Below are 22,813 nucleotides of genomic sequence, written 5' to 3'. Positions count from 1 at the left end.
GTCATTTTAATAAGGGCACTAATCCAAGTCATGAGGACACAGCTTCCCACAAGGCCCCACATCCTATACCATCACCTTGGGGATTAGGATTTCCACTCTTGAGTTTTGGTAGACACAACATTCATTCCATACCACTAGGGTAATGTCCTGATGCCAAGGTCTTTACCTTAATCACATGTATGATGTAAGGTAACATGGCAGGTTCTAGGGATTAAGATGTAGACATCTTTTTTTTTTTGGCGGGGAGGAGGGTGGGAGGGCATTATTTTGCCTACCACATTTTACATGCATTTAAATATTTACGGTAGTGTGAAAATAACGCACTTTACAAATACATCGTCTTCCATGATAATATGAAATGAGCATCTGACCTAGTGATATTAATGGGCTGATCATTTTGATTTCAGTATTTTGGGAAGGAAAGTAATGAACAGTAATGATCTAGTGAGTGTATTCACCCATTCTTACATTGCTATAAAGAAATACCTGGGACTGGGGTAACTTTCATTGGCTCACTGTTCTGCAGGCTTTCTAGGAAGCATGCCATTGGCATCTGCTTGGCATCTAGGGAAGCCTCTGGAAGCTTATAATCATGGTGAAAGTTGAAGGGGGAGGAGGCACGTCACATGACGAAAGCAGGAGCAAGTCGGGCAGAGGGGGGTGCCACACACACACTTTTAAATGATCAGATATCCTGAGAACTCATTGTCATGAAGACAGCACCAAACCATGAAGGAATCGTCCCCAGGATTCAGACACCTCCCACCAGGCCCCACCTCCAGCATTGGGGATTACAGTTCAACATGAAATTTGGGCAGGGGGCAAGTATCCAAGCCATATCAGTGAGTATTTCTTTGAGACCATTTTTTATTTAGGTGAGCCATATGGGGCAATATTTGTACAAATAAAACTCTAGCCATTATATAATTGTGGTTGCTTGATAAAAAACAAAAATCTGTGGTAACAAATTAGTTATTTTTAACTCTTTTGCACAATTAAAAGTAATATAGTAATTTTTTAGTGCTGTAGATGGGAAATTTTGATGAGAAAAATTATGTACAGGTTGTGAATATTGTGCATGTTAGGAAGTTTCATTCTTTCACTGGTACTCTCTCTTGTTCAAGCTCTCCTCTTTCCTTCTGTATGACTTATTTTACTTTTAGGCATTAAATTATTGTTACACAAGTTACGTTACTGTATTCATTTTATGTTATTATAATTTATGTTATTTTATGTAACTTTTGTTATTGGAACATAACAGACTGGAGTGCAGTGGTGTGATCTTGGCTCACTGCAGCCTCCATGCCCTGGGTTCAAGCTGTTCTCCCACCTCAGCCTCCTGAGTAAGCTAGGATTACAGGCATGAGCCACCACACCCAGCTAATTTTTGTATTTTTGTAGAGATGAGGTTTCACCATGTTGGCCAGGCTGGTCTCAAACTCCTGACCCCAGGTGATCTGCCTGCCTTGACCTCCCAAAGTGCTGGGATTACAGGTGTGAGCCACCGTGCCTGGCCTATTTTAGACAATTTTAATAATTCTGTTTTGGACAGAAACTTTAAAAATGGTGGAAGATTGGTTCTAATGAGTCTTCATGAGCACATTGACCTAAAGGCCATTTTTGTTTTACAACTTACTTTCTTCTTTCGATTTTGAAAAAGTGCATTCTTGGGCATTTACTAATCTTTTAGATAATTAAAATTTTCTTAAGCATAGCACCCTTTTCTAGTTTTATGTGTGTCCTACATTCTGCTTTATTTTGTAGCTTCTTCCAGACCTCTGTAGCACATAAGGTTTTATAAAGTCAGAATCACATCTTCATCATCCCTGTGTGTGTGTAGCACGGGTTTGATGCTTTGCATTCAGCAAGTATGTAGTCAGCCCTCTGTGCCTGTGTGTTCTACATCCATGGCTTCAGCCAACATGGATTGAAAATGTTTGAAAAAAATTGCATCTGTACTGAACATGTACAGACTTTTTTTCTTGTGGATGTTCCCTAAATGATACAGTATAACAACTATTTACATAGCAGTTACATTGTATTAGGTATTATAAATAACGTAGAGATGATTTAATGTGTCCTGGATGGTGTGTGTAGGTTATATGCAAATACTATGCTATGTCATATCCAGGACTGGAGCATTCTCAGGCATCTGGGACCAATCTCCCACAGACACTGAGAGATGGCTGGACTCTCCTTTCTTCTCAGCCCTGTCAAACTAGCAGTGACATCAAAAGGAAGGGCCGCATGGTCTTGGGCAGAGTTGGCTTAGAGAAATAGAGTATGCTTAATTCATTTCAGGTTCTAGATAATGCAGCATGATAAAAGACTATTCATATGTTATAAATATAAAATTTCAACAGATCCATGTTTAAATGTGTACTTCATATCTTAGCAGATTCCTTTAATGGGATTTTTTTTTTTTTACACTGAGGAAATATTTCACACTATTTTCCGCTGGATGCAATTTAAAAAATCTGTTTCAATTTGTATACATTCTCCAAGGTTGTAATTTTATATGGAAACCTCGCAAATAACTTTTTGTGTCTATATCCTCACCTGGTATATGCTTGCTGAGTGTCCAGAGCAATAGTCTATCATCGTAGAAAATGGAGATACCCTTGATTAGAAAACATAGCTACTGAAAGCACATCTGAAACAATAACTATTTGGTTTTTAATTTATCATCCATCTTCACATACTCTTTTTATTGTCAAAGTATTCTAGACTGCTGCATTTTGTTAAAATCTAAGAACAAAGCTTTATTGCTTAAGAGGATGATTTGGCTATAATTTTGTAGTTATATTATTCCTTATCAACTTAAAAAAAAAAGAACATGTACTTAGAGAAAAAAATCTTGAGCTAAACAAATTGAGTAACCATTGGGGGCATACTTTTATTCTCAGGAACTTGGCTGCTGTATGTCTTCCTCTGGACTCATCTACAGTAAATGATGTTTCACCATCTATTGGTAATGAAAATGGTGATATGTGTGTTATACTTTCTTATGCAAGAGTCAGGGCTATTACTTCAGTGCTATTCTAAGTGTCTAAAAAAGGTAGGAGTGTGTGTATGTGTTGCAGTGATTCATTACCTTTATTTTTCTATGTTCACACGTAAGTGATTATCCTTATTTATTGGCTGGAAATTGAGTATTAATGTAGGCTTTTTAATTTTTGTTTATTTTTTATTTCTTTTTGAGGCAGAGTCTTGCTCTTTTGCTCAGGCTGGAGTGCAGTGGTGCAATCTTAGCTTACTGTAACCTCCGCCTCCTGGGTTCAAGAGATTATTGTGTCTCAGCTTCTCAGGTAGCTGGGATTACAGGTGTGCACCACCACACTTGGCTAATTTTTGTATTTTTAGTAGAGACAGGGTTTTGCCGTGTTGGCCAGGCTGGTGTCGAACTCCTGGCCTCATGCAATCCTCCTGCCTTGGCCTCCCAAAGTGCTGAAATTACAGGTGTGAGCAACACTGTGCCCAGGGGATAGTGGCCTTTTTACTTCAAGTATTCATAGCAGGAATAAAGCGTGACATAAATGGCATGTATGAAATGAGAATGATGTGTATAAAACTCATGGGACAGTGACTAATATGTCTTAAATAAATGAAATGTTATATTCCGTGGATTATTTTCTAGATTTATTTTCCTAAACACTGTCTTTGAAATGAATACCTACATACCACACTTATGCATCTCCCTCAGACTTTTAAAAGAATTATTAATCAAATGAAGCTGAGAAATACTGAAGTGTCTCTTTCTACATCTGACTGCTTCTTATAATTTGCTGTCAGTTCCTATGGGTTTCAAGCTTAATTCTATGCTACTCGTATTTGAAATTTTTGTTTTTTTTCTGCCTACTTACCTACAATCTTATTGGTAAATATAATCTTTTTGAACATCTTATAGTAATATATCTTATGGAAATCAAAATAATATAAGAAGTTCTTTGAGGAGGTAGGAGAGGGGGGAAAGCACTTCTTTACATTTCTTTGTCACGGTTTTTGTATATTACTTCGGTGCCCCTTGAATTATTTTCCAAGATCTAAGTATGTGTGGGTAAAATGCAACTGTTTTACATGTGTAACTTTATTATAATTAATTGTGTTTCATCTTTTTTAAAGATGGAAAAAATCACACTGCAATAGTATTTGTTACTTCTTTTCATAGTCAAAGCACATCTAAGTAAATTGAGTTGAGGCCACATCTTGACCCGCTGATCATCTTGTTAAATTTCATGTTGCTTCCTAGCTCATTTAACTTGTGAGGAACAGCATTTTAGGAGGCTTGATTTAGCAATTCTTTTCAGTAAAACCATACCTCTTCTCAATGAATGTTGTATAAAGTCAGCACAACCTGTTCCAAAGAGATTTATTACACTGTAGTGCAGAAAATATTGTAGAAATTATTATGGTGAACGTGTGACTTCAGGCAGCTTTTCTTTAAAAAAATATAACCTTAATTGTGGGGAAAAGCTCTCACTGTCATCCTTCAGTATCGCTTGGGGGTTGGTTCCAGGAACTCCTGCAGATACCAAAATCTGAAGATGCTCAGTTTCTTATTTAAAATTGTGTAATAGTTTGCATATAACCTGCACACATCCTCTTGTACACTTTAAATAATCTCTAGATTACTTATAAGGCCTAACACAATGTAAACGCTATATAAATAGTTGTTATACTATATTGTTTTTATTTGCATTATTTTTAATTTTTGCATTATTTGTTATTTTTATTTTCTTTTTCAAGTATTTTCAATCTGTTGAGATTCAGTCCGTGGATTCAGTTTGAATCCATGAATGTGGAACCAACAGATAGGAAGACCAGTGGTATTTAGTGTTACTACATTGGATATTTTTCACTAGTCTTCTGCATTGCTGGATCACATTATTTCATTTTTTATTACAGAAAATTTTAAACATACAGCTCAACTATCAGCTCTAACAATTATTAATTTATGGCTAGTCTTGCTGCATCTATACTCCTACGAACTCATCCAAACAGGATTATTTTGAAACATATTTCAGACCTCATGTCACTTCTTCTGAAAACATTTTAGTATACATTTTAAAAATAGTATACTATTTTTAAACGTTAAAAATAGTACTGTTTAATAACAAAAATACTTAAGCTATATGTAATAGTGTTATTAAAATATCTGAATGTTTTGTAAATGTTGCTTTATATTTGGCTGGTTTAGAATCCACACGAAATCCACACCTTACATTTGATTGATATATCTCTTCGGATTCTTTTAGTCTATAGGTTGTTCCTCCTGCCTGACCCCTGTGCATGTGTTTCAGTTTCTTCGTTGAAATTGGGCTTGCTTTCTCCTGCAGCTTCCTCCTGTCTTGACTTCGCTGAATCCATCCCTGTGGTATCTACCATGTTCTATAACCTCGGTGTTTCTTATAAACTGATAGGTGGATGTAGAGTCTTAATATAACTCCGATTTCAATTTGTAATAATATTATCTCCAGGCATTGTTGTATGGTTCCATCAGCAGATGGGGACAGTGTGGTTGTTCATCATTTTGTGAGCAGCCCCTGGTAATTATTACCTGGATCTTTTATCTGTCTACCTGTTATTACTGTAATTCCTTTATTTAGTAGGGGAATATTTCTATAAACAGAAACTTTTCCTTCTCAGCTATTCTTGCCAGTTACTCTGAGGTATACAGTTCATATGGAAAGTGTAGGCCAAATGCTTAATTTCATCTGTTTCTTTATCAGTTTTGTTTTTGTTTCTTTTTTTTTTTTCTTCTTCTTCCCTTTTGAGACATGGTTTTACTCTGTCACCTAGGCTGGACACCCAGTGCAGTGATGCAATCTTGGCTCGCTGCCAAGACCTCCTGGGCTCAAGCATCCTCCCATCTTAACCTCCCAAGTAGCTGGGACTACAGGCGCACACCACCATGCCCAGCTAATATTTGTATTTTTGCAGAGACAGGGTTTTGCCATATTGCCCAGGCTGGTCTCAAACTCCTGAGCTCAAGTGATCCACCCACCTTAGCTTCCCAAAGTGCTGGTATTACAGGCATGAGCCACCATGGCTAGCCTCTTCCTTTATTGGTTTCAGAAAAAATAAGTTGGTTTTCTGGGGCCACATCCTCACGGTTCATGTTTACTGTTTTTTTTTTTTTTCTTTTTAAAAGATATCATTAAGAACTCACAAACATCAACATAGTTATTACTGCAGCCGGTTGCATTATTCTTCTTACTGATGTTTCAGTTGCCCCACATTTGAATAACCAGACCCCTCTAAGCTGACTCCTGAGAGCTGTTGGTAGCAGCATCCTCACTTTCTGCTGTGACAGTGTGTTTCATGCTCTTCTAATATATTTTCTGCCCCATACCTGGAATCAGTCATTTCTCAAAGTAGCCTTGCCCCTATTAATGGGAAAGGGTATTCAGAGACCACTATTTGGAATTATTGCTTTTATTTTGCAAATGCTTAAAGTAAGTTAACATCAGGAGCACGCTGGCTCTAAATTCAGTTTTCACAGCTATGTCTGAAAATGTAGTGAGTCTACCCTTGATTATCCGAGTGATTAATCTTTCCAAGGGTACCAATAAATGTGGGTTCTCCTTGCCAATTCAGATTTTCCTTTATTTGGACTCTGATGAACTTCTTACAGAACTGTAGCCTGACGTTTCTGTGGGCACTGTGACTGTGTGTTGGATGAGGTCTTACTTGGCAGGTGTCAGAAGCAATGATGGGCAGATCTGCTTGTCTGCAGTAGGATGCCAGAACACAGTGACCACTGTGCTTGTGTTGAGTTGTGGGTTTTTGTTTGTTTTTTTTTTGCTTTTTTTGTTTATGGGTACAGATAGTTAGGAAGCAATGGTATCTCAATGAGTTTAACATTTTCTTTTGCCCCCTGCGAAATTGAGTGCCAGGAAATTGGGCTCAACCATTGTGTTGTCTTCAGTAGGCAAATTGGGTTGGGGGGCTGGAAATTGGTCACAGTCATGGTGCTAAGTTTTGAAGAGGTTTTTCCTAGTGTGGAATGTCTGAGCATGAGCTTGGTCTTCCCTGACAGTGGAATTGGCTCCAGCTTTGCAGACCTTATCAATCCTGTTACCAGTGCATCCTACATTTCATCTCCCAAAGCTGGCTTCATCAGTGATCTGTGAAGTGTGATGCAGAACCATTGAGGCATGGAAAACAAATGGGGACCTTTGATCAACATGGGGATTAGGGGAACAACAATTATTAAAAAAATATCAGGACTTAACATATCTGTATTTTATTATCTCACATTGTAAAATTTCCTATTCCTTGTATATGTTTAATAATGTTTGTATTAGTGGAATTGAGCATTTAAATGATCATTAAATAAAAGTCCTATACAGCTGCATGCTCAGAAAGATTTTCCTAACAGGGCTATGTTATCAAGAAAGTTTGGAGGCACTGGACCTGCTTTCTGGTCACTTTTTCTGCATCTTTTCTTGGGCAGTCTTTTGATCCATTCTCCAGTTTAGTCAAGTGATCGTTTAGTAATTCACATCTCTCTTCCTTCTACCTCCATGCTTAAAAACCTTCAGCAGCTTCCCAGTACGGTTAAGAATACTGGTATGTTTTGTTCAAGTGTATAAGAATTGTTTTGTGTCTTTGCAGCCTTGTCTCTTCTACCTCATGACTAGCACGCTGGGCCTCTGAATTTCTTGGATGAGTCTTCTTCCTGCTTAACTCTAGGCACTCTCTTTTCCCTTTGTCTGGTAAAACTTCTCTTTGGTGCTCTCCTGTCTAGCCTTACTTATGCCATAGGCATCTGGTCAAGTAACAGTTTCTTCAGTAGGTGTTTCCGGATTCCATAGAGTTGCTACATAATCCTGTAGTGCTGTGTATTTTTGGTGACTACGGGAGAGTAGGGAATTTGTGTGGGTTCTCTAGATCCACTGCTGTGTTGGGAAATGTTTAATAGCCGGCTCTCTGAAAACCGCAGAAACCTGGCTTTGTCACATTTTCCCATTTCCATGGTGTAAATATGAGTATTATGGCCAGATTCAGGCTACCAAATTGATGTCACTGAATGTTGAGTTGGGATGAGATGCATGGTAGCAAACTGTAATATGGTATTTCCATGATAATAGATGGAGAAGGTGCATCATGTGTGTAGATACTAATAAAATATAGTAAAATAATTCGAACGTGAAGATTTTTGAGTATTATCTTTGTTTTAATATAGTTTAGTTGGAAGTTTATGTACTATAATTTTCTTTTCTTTTTTTTCTTTTTTTTTTGAGACAGAGTTTCGCTTTTGTCGCCCAGGTTAGAGTGCAATGGCACTATCTTGGATCACTGCAGTCTCCGCCTCCCAGGTTCAAGTGATTCTACTGCTTCAGCCTCCCGAGTAGCTGGAATTACAGGTGCCTGTCACCACAGCCAGCTAATTTTTGTATTTTTAATAGAGATGGGGTTTTACCATGTTAGCCAGGCTGGTCTGGAACTCCTGACCTCAGGTGATCCGCCTGCCGTGGCCTCCCAAAATGCTGAGATTACAGGCATGAGCCACCATGCCTGGCCTGTATTATAATTTTTAATAATTTTATTTAACCATCAACTCTCAGAAATTCCTGAAAATTTAATAATTCTCTCTCATGCAATGGTAGGAGCCAGGAGTAGAGATCCCCTGTGCCACACGCAGACAGGTCACATTTTTTTGAATTGATTGAAGACATTGGAATAAGGTAATGTATGCATGTGCTTCCATTTTTGGGCATTTACTTTGCTTTGCATTATCAACTTATTCTTTTATAACTTGCATGTCTTGCATTGTACTAGCTTTTATATGAGGAGAAGTATGTATCACAGAGGGAAATATGCACAAATGCAGCCAGATACTCAACACCACTCCAGTAGTGCAACTGATTGACTAAGGCATTAACATTGATCTAATGAAGTTCAGTGGCAGGTGGTTGGCTCAGAAAAATGAATTATAATACATTAATCTTGCTTTGTGGATATACAAGGTAGACAGAAAAAATGGTAAACACTTTCGTTCTTGGAATTCCCATTTTGCTATTCATTCCCTCATTTTCCAATCATTGAGAGGTGAATTATCAGAAAAACGCTTTAGCGATATTTGCCTGCAGCTACTATATTGGTAGTTTTGACTGAATTACTTAATCGATTCGACCTAAGTTTCTAAATTGACTAAGTGTTTGACTGAAAAGATTCTTTGGAAGAAAATACAGATGATTTCACAAGATTATAGTGACATATCGTGTGAAAGTGTAGATTAAGGGTACCCAACACATTTCTGTTAATCCAAGTAAATGTTTCTGATCAGGATATAAGAGTAAATGCCATCAGGGTTACAAAAGCTGGTGTAAAATTTAGACATTTTAATAGCCATGTGGTAGGACATTTCAAATATTATTTTCTAAAGGTTAACTGTCAATATTTAGGTCCTATAAAGAAAAAGTTTTAAAATGCTTTAGAATATAGTATTTATTTTGTAAGCAATCTTTCTAGACAGAACAGCCCTTCTATATTTTATTTCCAAAAATCAAAAGCTGTTAGGGACAGAAGTTTTTAAGATAGAAGGTAAGCCCTTTTTGTTATAGATGAGGAAACTAGAGCCATGCGTGAATGTGGACAGCCTTGTTCTGTTTGAATCGGTGTTTTGAAGTGTGTGGTTTACCCTGTGAATTAAGACCTGAGCAGGTGCGAGCCTGTCTTTGCAGCAGATGATCTTCAGCCACATGCTTCGTCCTGTGCTAGCCCGTCATCCTGGATGACTCTTCTTTTTATGTTGATTCAATGTATGGTAATGTTTGCAGAGAAAACTAACGAGGCATATTAGAAATCCGTACTAATGTAGATACATTTTGTAAAATCAAATAAGATTGATCACCATCCCTACTTAATTCAGAGCAAAGGAAGGGAATCTAATTTTTCTCTTTTTCCACACCTCGTTTGCTGTAATGAAAATGGCATTCTGCTTTGAATCATTTCCAAGGAAATGATTTTCAATATTGTTGTCTGTGACATTTTGACAATTAAAATGCATTTCTTAAGCCTACTGGAAATGCTGCGATGCTTTTTCTTGTTTTCATTTTTTTTCCCCCCAGTGGTTCTATCTGTGCTTGTTGCCTAGGAAACCACGACTGGGTTGAATTCTGTTTGCCTGGTTGTCTGACAGACTGGCAAAGTTATGGATAAAGTTCTTGGCTTTAGAGTTGTAAAAGTGCTACTTAAATAACAGAAACATTTTATCAATATTAAAGTGCTTTATCTCCTCAATTAAAAAGCAGCCAAGCATTTGTTTGGTTTTCTTAAAATGCTAAATAGAGAATTATTGTTTTCCTTGATTATTATTGAAACTTCCTGTTTTGTATACAAATTTGCAATAGGATTTGAATTGTCACAGTGAGCTAGTTCTAAATATAGCACTTTAATAAAAAAATGCTTCTGTAAATTTGTTTACTTCCTTGGGGAGTCATGTGCATGTGTTATCATTCCCAAGAGGGACAAACATAAACATATTTCATGAAAAAATTCAAAGAGGTGTTAGAAAATGCAGATTATTTTGCCCTATGTTTGATAAGTAGAAAAACAATTATTTCTATATAACTTTTTCAAATTAAAGTTAGAAAGAAGTAGTGGAAATCCCTCAGATCTTTTCTGAGTTGATAGAACTGAGAGTATATAGTTAATGGTTATTTAATTATACTTTAGCTAAATTCAGTGTCCTTGCTTAATACTAAAAAATTAATTACATTGCTTAATACTAAAAAAATTTCAGAGAGATGTGTTTTTGGATGATCCTGTGACCACTGACTCCATGAAGCTGTAGAGCCCTTGAAATGAGGCAAGGGTAACTGAGGAGCTGAATCTAAATAGCCGGTGTGGCTAGTGACTCCATCGTCTGGGGACTTGATGGAAATGCAGAGTCTCAGGCCCCATCCAGACCTATTCATTCAGAATCTGTATTTTTCATGAGGTCCCTTAGGGCTGATATGCAATGCTGTCTCTTCTAGAGCAATAATTCTCTTCTAGAGCTGTCTTGGCTGCATGTTACAATGACCTGAAGAGCTTGTGAAAGTAATTCCTGGGCTTCTTCCTAGACCAAATTTTCAGTATTTCTGATGGGGATCCTGGAACCAGCATTTTACAGAGTATTCCCACGTCATTTTAATGACTGGTGAAGTGTTAGAACCACATATATAACTCAAAGAGTATACAAACAAGTGTGACGTTTGGATGGGGAGGTCTTAAGTACTGCCCTGGATTTTCCACTTTTTGTTGAGGTTAGTATAGGAACAGTATATGTAAGAAAGAGTTAGTCTGTACTGAGTGCTAAGTATATTATCTTAAATTGACTAAACATTTGACTGGGAAGACTCTTTTGGTGAAAATACACAAGACTATATTGACAGGCTGGGCGTGGTGGCTCATGCCTGTAATCCCAGCACTTTCGGGAGGCAAAGATGTTAGTGACATACTTTGTGAATGTATAGATTAAGGGCACCCAACGCATTTCTGTTAATCCCAGTAAATGTTCTGACATAGATATGAAGCACGAGCATTTTGTTTTGTGTACACACACCCTCTCCCTCTGTCTCTCTCTCTCTCTCTCTGTAATGTGCCCTTCCTTCAATGTACCACTCCCCATTTCTTCTCACAAATCCCCTAATAATAAAATAAATTGTGATGAATTTTCTGTTTGCTCGTCTTAGCTAAAGGGAACTTATTTCATTCTTAAAATGTTTTTCATGGTCTTTCTTTTTCCCTGTGAAGAATGATTACAAGATCCAAGCATGAGATGAGTCATTGTCTAATGAATAGTGTCTTTTCTTCCAGCTCTGACTTGCAGTGTGGTTGAGTTCAGCTAATGTGCATTTACTGCACTCCTACCGTGTGATGGCAGTGATGGTAGATGTAGGTGAGAAAGGTGCAAATAAACCAGAGAGTCTTTCTTTCAGTTCTTGGTGTTCCTGGATTTCATGCATACTGGATAGGAGCATGTTTTCTGTGGCTTGACGACTGAGGCTTGGATTTTTATCTCCACTAATTATTGTTAGATTAACTTTTGCCAGGATATCTTATCTCTGTAACACCAAGTCTTCATACCTGTAAAATAGGAATACCTATAAAATGGGAATAATAATAGAACCTATTTTATAGCCTTATTCTGAGGATTTGATCAGTCATGACATTAAGGTTCTTAGCATATACATAACCCATAGTGAATGCTCAACAAATGTTAGTGATTACAGACTTAATTGGCTCATTATAAATGATCAAGGCATGTTTACTTTTACATTACTCTTTCCTTAAGGAGGAGAATGAATGGTTTAGATTAGCTATGAAAGATCTCTGCACTTTGAAGGTAATATAAACAGACACGCAGCCATATGTTTCAGAGCCATGAAGTCTTATTGCTGCCTTGGAGCAACCAGTTGGTGCCAAATGGCTTTATTAATCGCCAGTGTGTACAGGGTTGTGTGGTAAGGAATTAATTTGAAACTGGAACAGTTAAGACAGAGAAGTGGATAATGAGCCATTTGAATGTTTTTAAAGTGCTTCCGTCATACTCCCCCTGTAGAAAATAAAGCTTTTCAACTTCCGGCAGCATCCGATCCTTTACTTCATTTTTGTTCCTAGCACTGATCTCTTCGTGGCGTAGTCTGTGTTCACATGTGTATGCTTTGTCCTGTCCTCACCAGAATGGAACATCCTGGAGGGATTATTGGCCTTCCAGTTCAAACGATTCTTCTGCCTCCTGCCTCAGCCTCCCTAGTAGCTGAGACTACAGGCATGCACCACCACGCCCAACTAATTTTTGTATTTTTAGTAGAGACAGGGTTTCACCATCTTGGCCAGGCTGGTCTAGAACTCCTGACATCACATGATCTTCCCACTTCAGCCTCCCAAAGTTCTGAGATTACAGGCTTGAACCATTGCGCCCAGCTGTAGATATTTGTCTTTGGAAGAAAGACTTTGTAAACCTCCTTAGAAAGCTTTTAGTGGGGCGGGCAAGCGGCGGGGCCATGCGCATGGCATGCTGGGCTGTGGGCGCTGGCTGCTGGGAACCCGGCAGAACATGGCCGTGCATGTGTGCTGAAGGGAGAGGTGGCCACAGAGATAGCGTGTTCCTCATGATCAAGTGCCACTGCATCACCATCTTCACAGATGCCAGGGTGTCTAGCATGGTGTTTGAGTTGAAGTGCATCGTCGAGGGCATCCTCAGCAGCTGTACAGGGATGACCAGCTCTTGGATGTTGGCAAGACGCTGGGAGAGTGTAGCTTCACCAGCCAAAGTGCATGGCCACAGCCCCGGCCACAGCGGTGCTGGGCTTCCAGGCGGACGACGGCCTTGAGGCCCTGCACATCCCATGGTTAGGAAGCCCCAGGACACAGGAAGCAGTGCTCACGAGCAAGCCGTGCACAGAGGGCACTCTGCGTGTCCGTGAGAGGCCCACTTCCCCCAGTAAAAGAGATTTAGATGTCGGGGGCAAAAAAAAAAGGGTTTTAGTACCATGAAGATTCATTTGCATCCCAGTGCCTGTGGTCCCAGCTGCTCAGGAGGCAGGGGTGGGAGGATCCCTTCTGCCTGGGAGGTTGAGGCTGCAGTGAGCCCAGATTGCATCACTGCACTCCAGCCTGGGTGACAGAGCGAGACTCTGTCTCAAAAAATAAATAAATAAAAATAAATAAATAAAATAAAAATAAAAAATTCATGTGCAAGATGAAAAGCCCAGCTCTGATAAAAATGAAGTATGGAGATTACAGTGGAAGTTTAACACCTCATAGTTGTAGAGAGGCTTGCTGCTGTGAAGTAATTGTTGATGGTCAACATACACTGGGATAATTATGAAATCTTGTAAAGTGCAGGAGCTTCAAACGCACATCCTGAGGTGACAGAAAACTGGCAAATGAAATTGGCAAATTGCTAGTCCCCAGGTAAGAGAAAAAGATTACGCTTTTATATAGTATTGTGGAGTAAAGGTTATAATAATAAAGAAATGGGGGAATAATGCTTGACAGTTACTGCTGTATTTGAATCCTTAATAAAATAATAGAAGACAAATGTCAAAGGAGAGGGCATTGAGCATTTAGAGAATATCTGCAATGCAATCAATAGTCAATGTCAATTTTTGAAAGACAAATTACTTGTTAGATGAAGTTATAATTTTAAAATTTAATTACATGATTGTTGAACTAAATTGGTAAAATGAAAGTGATATGAGGAATTTGGTGCAGATATACCTATAAAATTATATGTGAAGAATTAATTTAGATTGACTCCCACTCAGATATTCTCATAAGGGAGTCAGCACTGCATGAAGGACCATAGTGCAAAATTAATAGTTAAAAAAAAAAAAAAGTAAAACCTGGATGGGATTTCTAGCCAGGGAGTTTATCACCAATATTTGAAGCGGCAATTCTTTGTCCTTTTCCTGGTAGAAAACCCTTTTTTTTGTTCTCTGGGGCCTTCCAACATCTGTAATTGTTTCTTTGCTACAGAGATTGCCCTTTCAATACTTGAGACAATCAATGTGAAAAGGACAGAGATAGATGGAAGTCCTGTATCTCAAGATGGAAGTCATTCATTTTCTTAATTTATTTATACAGTAACACTTTAACAAACATTTTCTCGGTGTCCTTTGCTGGATTAAAAACTGGGGGTAGAATCACAAAATTTAATGAGGCAGACAGATGAGAAAGTACCAGATCTAAGTGAAGTCAAGCATGATTTCACTTAGTCTGTAGAAACCTTTTAAACTTCTCAGAGATGGCAATGCCTGCCCGGCCGACCTTAGAAAAGAGAGTGAGTGAGAAGAGGCCCAGAAGAGAGAACTTGGAAGCCTCTTTGGCCTTCTGTAGTTGCAGAGTGTTCCAGTTGAGTGTAAGGGTGCAGAGACATTGTTCAGCTCACAGAGGATACAAAAATGGTCTTGTGCCCCAAGCAGACCGAAAATTCTGAGTTATGACGTCTGATTTGTGGTTTACAAAAGGTATCATGAGTGCTTTGTAGAGGATGACTTGGAGACGGCCAGGCCTGGAGAGAGAGAATAAATCAAGCTGAGAAATGATGAGGATCCGTGACTGCCAGTATGAAGTTCACATTTTTAAAAATCACAGCTGAATTATATATGTGTACATATATAATATATTTATTTTATATATAGCAATTATATGTATATAGTATGACATAGCCCTGCTGCTCAGAGTCACAAAAGGGTAATGGTCACTCAGACCAGCAGCACTGATGTCACCAGGACAATGAAATGCAGAATTTCAGATCCTACCCATTCCAGACCTACTGAAGCTCTTTAACAAGATTCCTAGGTGGTTTCTGTGCACATCAACCTTTGACAGTCTCTGACTTAGAAGACACTGAGTTGCCTCATCCAAAGCTACCTTGTTTGCTTTGTCACCTTCTAATCACATTGTTTCCAATCACATCTGGTACAGCCATACTGAATTTCTTGTAGTTTCTTTAATTCTCTTGAATTTCAGTGTCTGGCTTTTGCACATGCAGTTTTCTCTGCTCATGTATTGTCTTCCTTCTGCCCCATTCATCTGGCCAGGCACCACCACCATTGCCCTGAAACAAAACCAAAACAGACTGTAAACAAAAAATAAAATTTTAAGACCCCTAACCAACTGAATGGACCCATTCTTGGCCAAGAACATACCAATGTAAACCTGAAAACTAGTTCGGGCCATGATGGGAAAGGGGGATTGGATGTACCTTTTTATACCCTCCTCCCTTTGGAATTCAGGTATTACTGACCAGCATTAACATTAAAACAGGCTGGCTCGTGCCTCTAATCCCAACACTTTGGGAGGTCATGGCAGGAGGATCACTTGAGCCCAGGATTTTGAGACCAGCCTGGGCAACATGACACTGTATCTACAAAAATAAGAAAATTAGCCACTCATCGTGGCACGCACCTGTAGTCCCAGCTGCTTGGTAAGCTGAGGCAGGAGGATCGTGTGAGCCTGGGAGTTCAAGGATGCAGTGATCTACGATCGTGACACTGCTCTCCAGCCTGGGTGACAAAGTAAAACCCTGTCTCAAAAAAAAAAAAAAAAAAAAAAACCCAAAACGTTTAAACAGCCACATTATAGTCTCTTTGTAGCAATAAAATATATAACAAAATGACAGGTAGCTGGACCTTAAAGAAATCAAAGTATTTTACCCCAAAATATATTTCTGTGATGTATTTTGAAATGGCCCCACAAATCTCTCTCGCAAGGAGTCTGACACCTTTTTAAGTCTGATTAAAAATCATTTACCATCTATTCTCCCTGAAGCCTGCTACCTGGAGGTTTCATCTGCATAGTAAGAACCTTGGGCTCCACAACCCCTTATATTAACCCAGATACTCCTTTCTGTTTATTCCAGATCTTTAGATAATAACTTAACTCTTTCAACCAATTGACAGTCAAAAAGCTCTGAATCTATGACCCGGAATCCCTTGCTTCATTGTCCTACCTTTCCAAACTAAACCAGTGTACACCTTACATGTATTGATTGATGTCTGCTTATAACTTCTGTCCCCTAAAATGTATAAAATCAAGCTGTAACAAATCACCTTGGGCAATTGTTCTCAGGATCTCCTGAGGCTGTGTTGGGGGCATATCTTTAACCTTGGCAAAAATGAACTTTTTTTTTTTTTTGAGACAGAGTCTTGCTCTGTCTCCCAGGCTGGAGTGCAGTGGCATGATCTTGGCTCACTGCCGCCTCTGCCTCCCAGGTTCAAGGGATTCTTGTGCCTCAGCCTCCCGAGTAGCTGGCGTTACAGGTGGGCACCACCACGCCCGGCTAATTTTTGTATTTCTAGTAGAGATGGGGTTGCACCATGTTGGTCACACTGGTCTCGAACTCCTGACCTAAGGTGATCTGCCTGCCTTGGCCTCCCAAAGTGTTGGGATTACAGATGTATGCCACTGTGCCCGGCCTAAACTTCTAAATTGATTGAGACTTGTCTCGGATACTTTTAAGGGCCTGGCCTCTGTGGATATGACAGTGAAAGGTGAGGTTGTCTAGGAGTGGGTTGCCAATGAGGAGGAAGGTCCTAAAACCTAGGAGGGCAGCATGGCAAACACAATGACACGATCTGGCAGCCACGAAAGGAGCTTGTGGAGGAGTGGTCAGAGGCTTTCCACAAGAGGTGGCCTGCAGGAGAATGCAAAAGGTTCATAGGTAAAATTTAGCAGTTATTTTTCACTTGAAGTCTTTGCTAAAGCTCTTAAAGACAGTGCCTCTCTTAGATGTTCCTGTAGTGCTGTGTACTTATGAAGCAGCAGGATCACGCTGAAGTGCTGGATCATGTCTACATTCTCCAGGGCACTGAAAACTTCACGAGGGCAGAGACCAGGTCTATGTTGTATATTATGAGATCCTAGGGACATGGGGCTCAAAAATATGGGTTGATAAAGGGAAAGACATTTATGGCACTCTTGGCAAAACAACAACAACAACAAACAACAACAACAAAAACTATGTTAGTTGAGTACTCGAGAGGAGCAATGAAACAGCACACTCCTGTCAAAAGATTGCCTATGAAGAAAATAAGCACAAGAGCAGTATCTGGAATGGAATCTGACAGAGGGAGTGGTATAGTTCCTTTAAAGATTTATGAGAGTCGTTCATTTAGCAAATATTTACCTAAAATTCTCATGCTTTGTGAAGTCCGTATTTGTGATTTTAGCTGTTTGCTAAAATTTATTTGTAGCTCCTAAATTAATACTCGGGGCACCTTTGTGCTCATTCATGAACATGTGTTGGATGGCAAACAGTTTGAGTCACTTGACTAATATGTTTCCAGTTGAGGCTGAAGAATGGGAAACTGCCTTCTTGCTCTGGTTTTCATATTTTAAAAAAGTGTCCTTTTCATGGGCTATTTGGTGCCATGTTTTTCGTGCTTTTTGCTGGTGATTTTGCTGTTAAAATGGCGCCCAAGCATAATACCAACATGATGTCTAGCATTCCTAAGCACAGTTAGTCTGTGATATACCTTCCGGAGAAAATATATTATTAGGTAAGCTTTGTTCAGGTATGAGTTATAGTCCTGTTAGCCGTGAGTTTAATCAGCAATATATATTAATTAAGATGTCTTTATACAGATCACACCTAAGGCAAGGCTCTGTATTGAATGGTGAACAACAGGGTTGTGGTCAGAGGCTCCACCTAACCTTGTATTTCTCCTAGGAGCAGTGGTTGAGTATTTGCTAATTCAGTGTTTACAGTTACTTTATATAACATAACTATTGTGCAAAACTAGAATCAACTGTATTTAGTTTTCCGGGCACTGTTTTGGGCACTGAGGGTGAGACAGTGAGGAAGAAAGATACGTTCTATCCCCTTGTGGGTCTTACATTCTATCTGGGGCTGTTGGCCATATGGAAATAGAAAGGTAGCACATCTCCTACTCAGCACATATATGAGGAAAAGCAATATTATAAATAACAATAGCATAAGCTTCCCCCCTTTTTTCTGTTTTTTTTTCTCTCTCTTTTTTTTTTTTTTTTTGGTGACAGAGTCTCACTCTGTCGTCCAGGCTTGAGTGCAGTGGCATGAAATGGGCTCACTGCAGCCATGACCTCCCAGGCTCAAGCAATTATCCTGCCTCATCTTCCAGAGTAGCTGGGACCACAGATGCGTGCCACTGTGCCTAGCTAATGTTTGTATTTTTTGTAGAGACGAGGTCTCACTATGTTGCCTAGGCAGGTCTCAAACTCCTGGGCTCAAGTGATCCACCTGCCTCAGCCTCCCAAAGTGTCTTTTTTCTTTCTCATGTTTTGTTCATTTTTGTTTATCATCTGCAAGAGAAACACATTTTTGTTTGTTTGTTTTCTGAGATGGAGTTTCGCTCTTCTTGCCCAGGCTGGGGTGCAGTGGTGCGATCTTGGCTCACCGAAACCTCTGCCTCCCAGATTCAAGCTATTCTCCTGCCTCAACCTCCTGAGTAGCTGGGATTACAGGCATGCACCACCACACCTGGCTAATTTTTTTTTTTTGTATTTTTAGTAGAGACAGGGTTTCTCCATGTTGGTCAGGATGGTCTTGAACTCCCGACCTCAGGTGATCTGCCCGCCTTGGCCTCCCAAAGTGCTGGGATTACAGGCGTGAGCCACTGCACCTTGCATTTTTTTTTTTTAATTTTAAGGAAAATAGCTCACTCTTACCTGTTCACATGCCCCTCTATCCTCCCTCTAACTTGCTTCTTTTTTCTTCTCTCAGTTTCTTTCCACCTTATATTCCCCTGGTCTCAGCTTCAATCTCCTCATTGCTCATTAAGGTATGTTTCTGAAAGTACAAAAAGAATCTAGAAAAATAATTCCATAATATTCTCTCAGTGAAAGTCTCTGGTACCAGGTATGTAAATACCTTTAGTTATTTTCATCTGGGCTTCTCATGGTATTTAGTACTCTTCTAACTGTCCCTGTTGGACATTTACTAACATTTGCCTTTTACCTGTCCTGAGCCAGTCGCTGGGGAGTAGCAATCTGTTAGAGGATTTGTTCCTTTTTGAATGGTCAGAGGCCTGGGGCAGGGGCTCACACCTGTAATCCCAGCGCTTTGGGAGACCGAGACAGCAGGACTGCTTGAGGCCAGGAGTTTGAGACCAGCCTTGGTAATATAGCGAGACCCATTAATTTAAAAAATAGAAACATTAGCCAGGTCGGGCATGATGACTCATGCCTGTACCAGCACTTTGGTAGGCTGAGGCGGGAGGATAACTTGAGGCCAGGAGTTCAAGACCAGCTTAGACAACGAAGTGAGACCCTGTCTCTACAGAACATAAAAAAATTAGCTGGGCATGGTGGGGGGCACCTGTGGGTCCAGCTACATGGGAGGCTGAGGCAGGAGGATTCCCTGAGCTCAGGAGCTCAAGGATGCAGTGAGCAATGATGGTGCCACTGCAGTCCACTCTGGGAGGCAGAGTAAGATGCTGCTTCAAAAAAAAAAAAAAAAAAAAGATAAAAATTAGCAGGGCACAGTGGTGTGTGCCTGTAGCTGAGCATGGTGGGGGGCACCTGTGGTCCCAGCTACATAGGAGGCTGTGGCGGGTGGATTGCTTGAGGCCAGGAGTTAAGGCTGCAGTGAGCTATGATTGTACCACTCTACTCCCATTTGGGAGACAGAGCAAGACCCTGTCTCAAATAAATGAATGAATGGTCAGAATGGGATTCACTTTAGAGTGATTTTTTTTTTCTACTTTTCTACAGTAAATGACTCTCAACATCTTGGCCCCATATTTATTAGTTTTGAAAATCACTAGGATAATGATGTCTAGTTAGATGCTAATCAAATATGTATTGGTTGAAGTAGCTGGATGGTAGCTCTCCCATAGCAAAATAAGGACACCAAAATATATATAAAAGAGGAAAAGTCATTGTTGTGAACTGCTGCTTTCCATTTGCTCTCTGGGTGGCCAGATCACTCCCTGATGTGTCTGGCAGGGGCTCAACTAACTTTTCCCCTGAACTGTACTGGCTTAGCAAAGGACCTGGGGATACCACGTTTTTATGCACAGGATTCAGTAGCCAATGCCTGTTTTGATAAGTAGCTGGTCATTTACATCATTGCCTCAGGCCAGGTCCTTCACTCTCGCCTGAGAGGCAGGAAGAGAGAAGTCAAAGGCTTTTCACCTCTGATGTCCATTTCTTATGCCCCTTAACCACTCTGTTCTACCCTGGGGATGAAAGGAAAGGAGTCCCTGAACACACACTGGGGCCTACATGAGGGTGGAGAGAGGGAGAGGGAAAGGGAGGAGGGTGATGATAAAAATAAATAAATAAATAAATAAATAAAACAACTGTTGGATACTATGCTTATTACTTGGTTGGTGAAATATTCTGTACACCAAACCTGTGACACAAAACTTACCTGTATTAGAAACCTGCAGGGGCTGGGCGTGGTGGCTCACACCTGTAACCCCAGCACTTTGGGAGGCTGAGGCGGGTGGATCACCTGAGGTCAGGAGTTTGAGACCAGCCTGGTCAACATGGTGAAACCCCATCTCTATTAAAATTACAAAAATTATGCAGATGTGGTGGCAGGCACCTGTAATCCCAGCTACTTGGGAGGATGAGGCAGGAGAAGAGCTTGAACCTGAGAAGCGGAGGTTGCAGTGAGCCGATATCGCGCCACTGCACTCCAGGCTGGTGACAGAGCAAGACTCCGTCTCAAAAAAGAAAAAAAAAAAAAAAAAAAGAAAAAGAAACCTGCAGATGTACCCCTGTAGCTAAAATAAAAGTTTAAAATAAAAATAAAATATTGGAATACATCTATTTAAAAAACGAATTGGGAAGTATTTTTGTTCCTGACTGATATATCTTAGCCAACTTTAAAACATTTTGTTCCTACTTTGTTGGGGTGTGTGTCTAGAGTGGATGAGTTGTAAAAATGAATAGAGTCAATACTTGTCCTCTAGTTGAATAACTGGCCGATGCTGTTAAAAGTAGAAACAGGTTGGGCGAGGTGGTTCATGCTGGTAATCTCAAGGCTTTAGGAGGCTGAGATGGGAGTTTCACTTTGAGGCCAGGAGTTTGTGACCAGCCTGGGCCACACTGTGAAATCCTGTTTTTACAAAAAATAAAAAATTAATTAACCGGGAGTAGTGGTGTCCACCTATAGTCTCAGTTACTGGTGCAGCTGAGGCTGGAGGAGCACTAAGCCCAGGAGTTCCAGGCTGCAGTGAGCTGTGATCTTGCACTGCACTCCAGCCTGGGTGACAGAGCAAGACCTTGTCTCTAAAAAGACAAAAAAGGAGAAGCAAGGTGCAGTAGGAGAAAGAGGCAGAGGAATTTTACTAGTACGTCTGAGCTGGATTGTTTCCTTTGATCCTCCACACCTATCTGTGCTCTGCTCCATATGCCAAGAGGCCAGCCCCTCACACTGACTGTCCAGGCTCTATGCCGTCTGCCTTGTGCCTGCAAGGACTGCAGCAGCAGGGCATTGACAGAAGTGGAAAGATGGAAAAGGCAGGCTTATTCAGCCTTCCTGGCTGTGGCTTTTGTGCAGCTGTGGCCCTCTGGGGAATGTCACAGCTCCCCTTGCCTCATGTGAGCAGAGGGCACTATACCCTTTGTTGTCATTCCTTAATCCTGCCATATATTAGAAACAGTCTTTCTGCTAAACTGTCCTCAAAGACCCCTCTCTGAGTCCGCAAAACACTTGGTGCCAGGACACAAATACTAGATCTGATGGGTTGGAGGAGGTGCTGTCATTTGAGGAGGACTTGTAGAGTACAGGACACACTGAAGTGGGTGGAGAGGAGGGCAAAGGTTCCTGATAATGGAAGTTGCAGCACTGGTGCGCCATGCAGTTGTCTACTGTGGTGCATGTTCAGGGAGCTGTCTGTGTGGACAGGCTACAGGGCACCGGCAGTGGCTGTAGGGGCTAAACATTGGGTGATAAGAAGAATATTATCGGAAATAATGTTAGGAAGGTACCCTAAGTCTCGATTGCGGCAGGCCTTGACATTGAGAATTTGCAACTGGGATTTTGTTTAACTCTTTGTGCTTTAAAAAAAATTTAAAGGCTGGGTGCCGTGGCTCACGCGCCCCAAAGTAATCCCAGGACTTTGGGAGGCCGAGGTGGGCGGATCATGAGGTCAGGAGATAGAGTCCATTCTGGCTAACACAGTGAAACCCTGTCTCTACTAAAAATACAAAAAATTAGCCGGGCGTGGTGGCAGGCGCCTGTAGTCCCAGCTACTCGGGAGGCTGAGGCAGGAGAATGGCGTGAACCCGGGAGGTGGAGCTTGCAGTGAGCCAAGATTGTGCCACTGCACTCCAGCCTGGGCGACAGGGCGAGACTCTGTCTCAAAAAAAAAAAAAAAAA

General features: G+C 40.4%; 1 protein-coding gene and 1 pseudogene across 11 annotated transcripts in view, besides 3 other annotated features; both read left to right on the top strand.

Annotated features, from left to right (window-relative positions):
* The window catches only part of PARD3 (par-3 family cell polarity regulator), a 705,736-nt gene that overhangs the window by 313,321 nt on the left and 369,602 nt on the right, over positions 1–22,813 (top strand). The gene's annotated exons all lie outside the window — the stretch shown is intronic.
* Positions 12,647–13,183: an enhancer, noted in NCBI's record as "H3K4me1 hESC enhancer chr10:34777721-34778257 (GRCh37/hg19 assembly coordinates)". NCBI's record gives its function as "activates a minimal SCP1, AML or CMV promoter by ChIP-STARR-seq in naive H9 embryonic stem cells {active_cell/tissue: H9 hESC(naive)}" and the evidence as "EXISTENCE:reporter gene assay evidence [ECO:0000049][PMID:30033119]".
* ELOBP4 (elongin B pseudogene 4) lies at positions 13,098–13,397 on the top strand (annotated as a pseudogene).
* Positions 16,349–16,849: an enhancer, noted in NCBI's record as "H3K27ac hESC enhancer chr10:34774055-34774555 (GRCh37/hg19 assembly coordinates)". NCBI's record gives its function as "activates a minimal SCP1, AML or CMV promoter by ChIP-STARR-seq in primed H9 embryonic stem cells {active_cell/tissue: H9 hESC(primed)}" and the evidence as "EXISTENCE:reporter gene assay evidence [ECO:0000049][PMID:30033119]".
* Positions 16,850–17,350: an enhancer, noted in NCBI's record as "H3K27ac hESC enhancer chr10:34773554-34774054 (GRCh37/hg19 assembly coordinates)". NCBI's record gives its function as "activates a minimal SCP1, AML or CMV promoter by ChIP-STARR-seq in primed H9 embryonic stem cells {active_cell/tissue: H9 hESC(primed)}" and the evidence as "EXISTENCE:reporter gene assay evidence [ECO:0000049][PMID:30033119]".

The sequence above is a fragment of the Homo sapiens genome, chromosome 10 (assembly GCF_000001405.40).
Source record: "Homo sapiens chromosome 10, GRCh38.p14 Primary Assembly".
NCBI lineage: Eukaryota > Metazoa > Chordata > Mammalia > Primates > Hominidae > Homo > Homo sapiens.
Note: the sequence above shows the minus strand (reverse complement) of the source record. Positions and strands in the feature narration are given on the sequence as shown.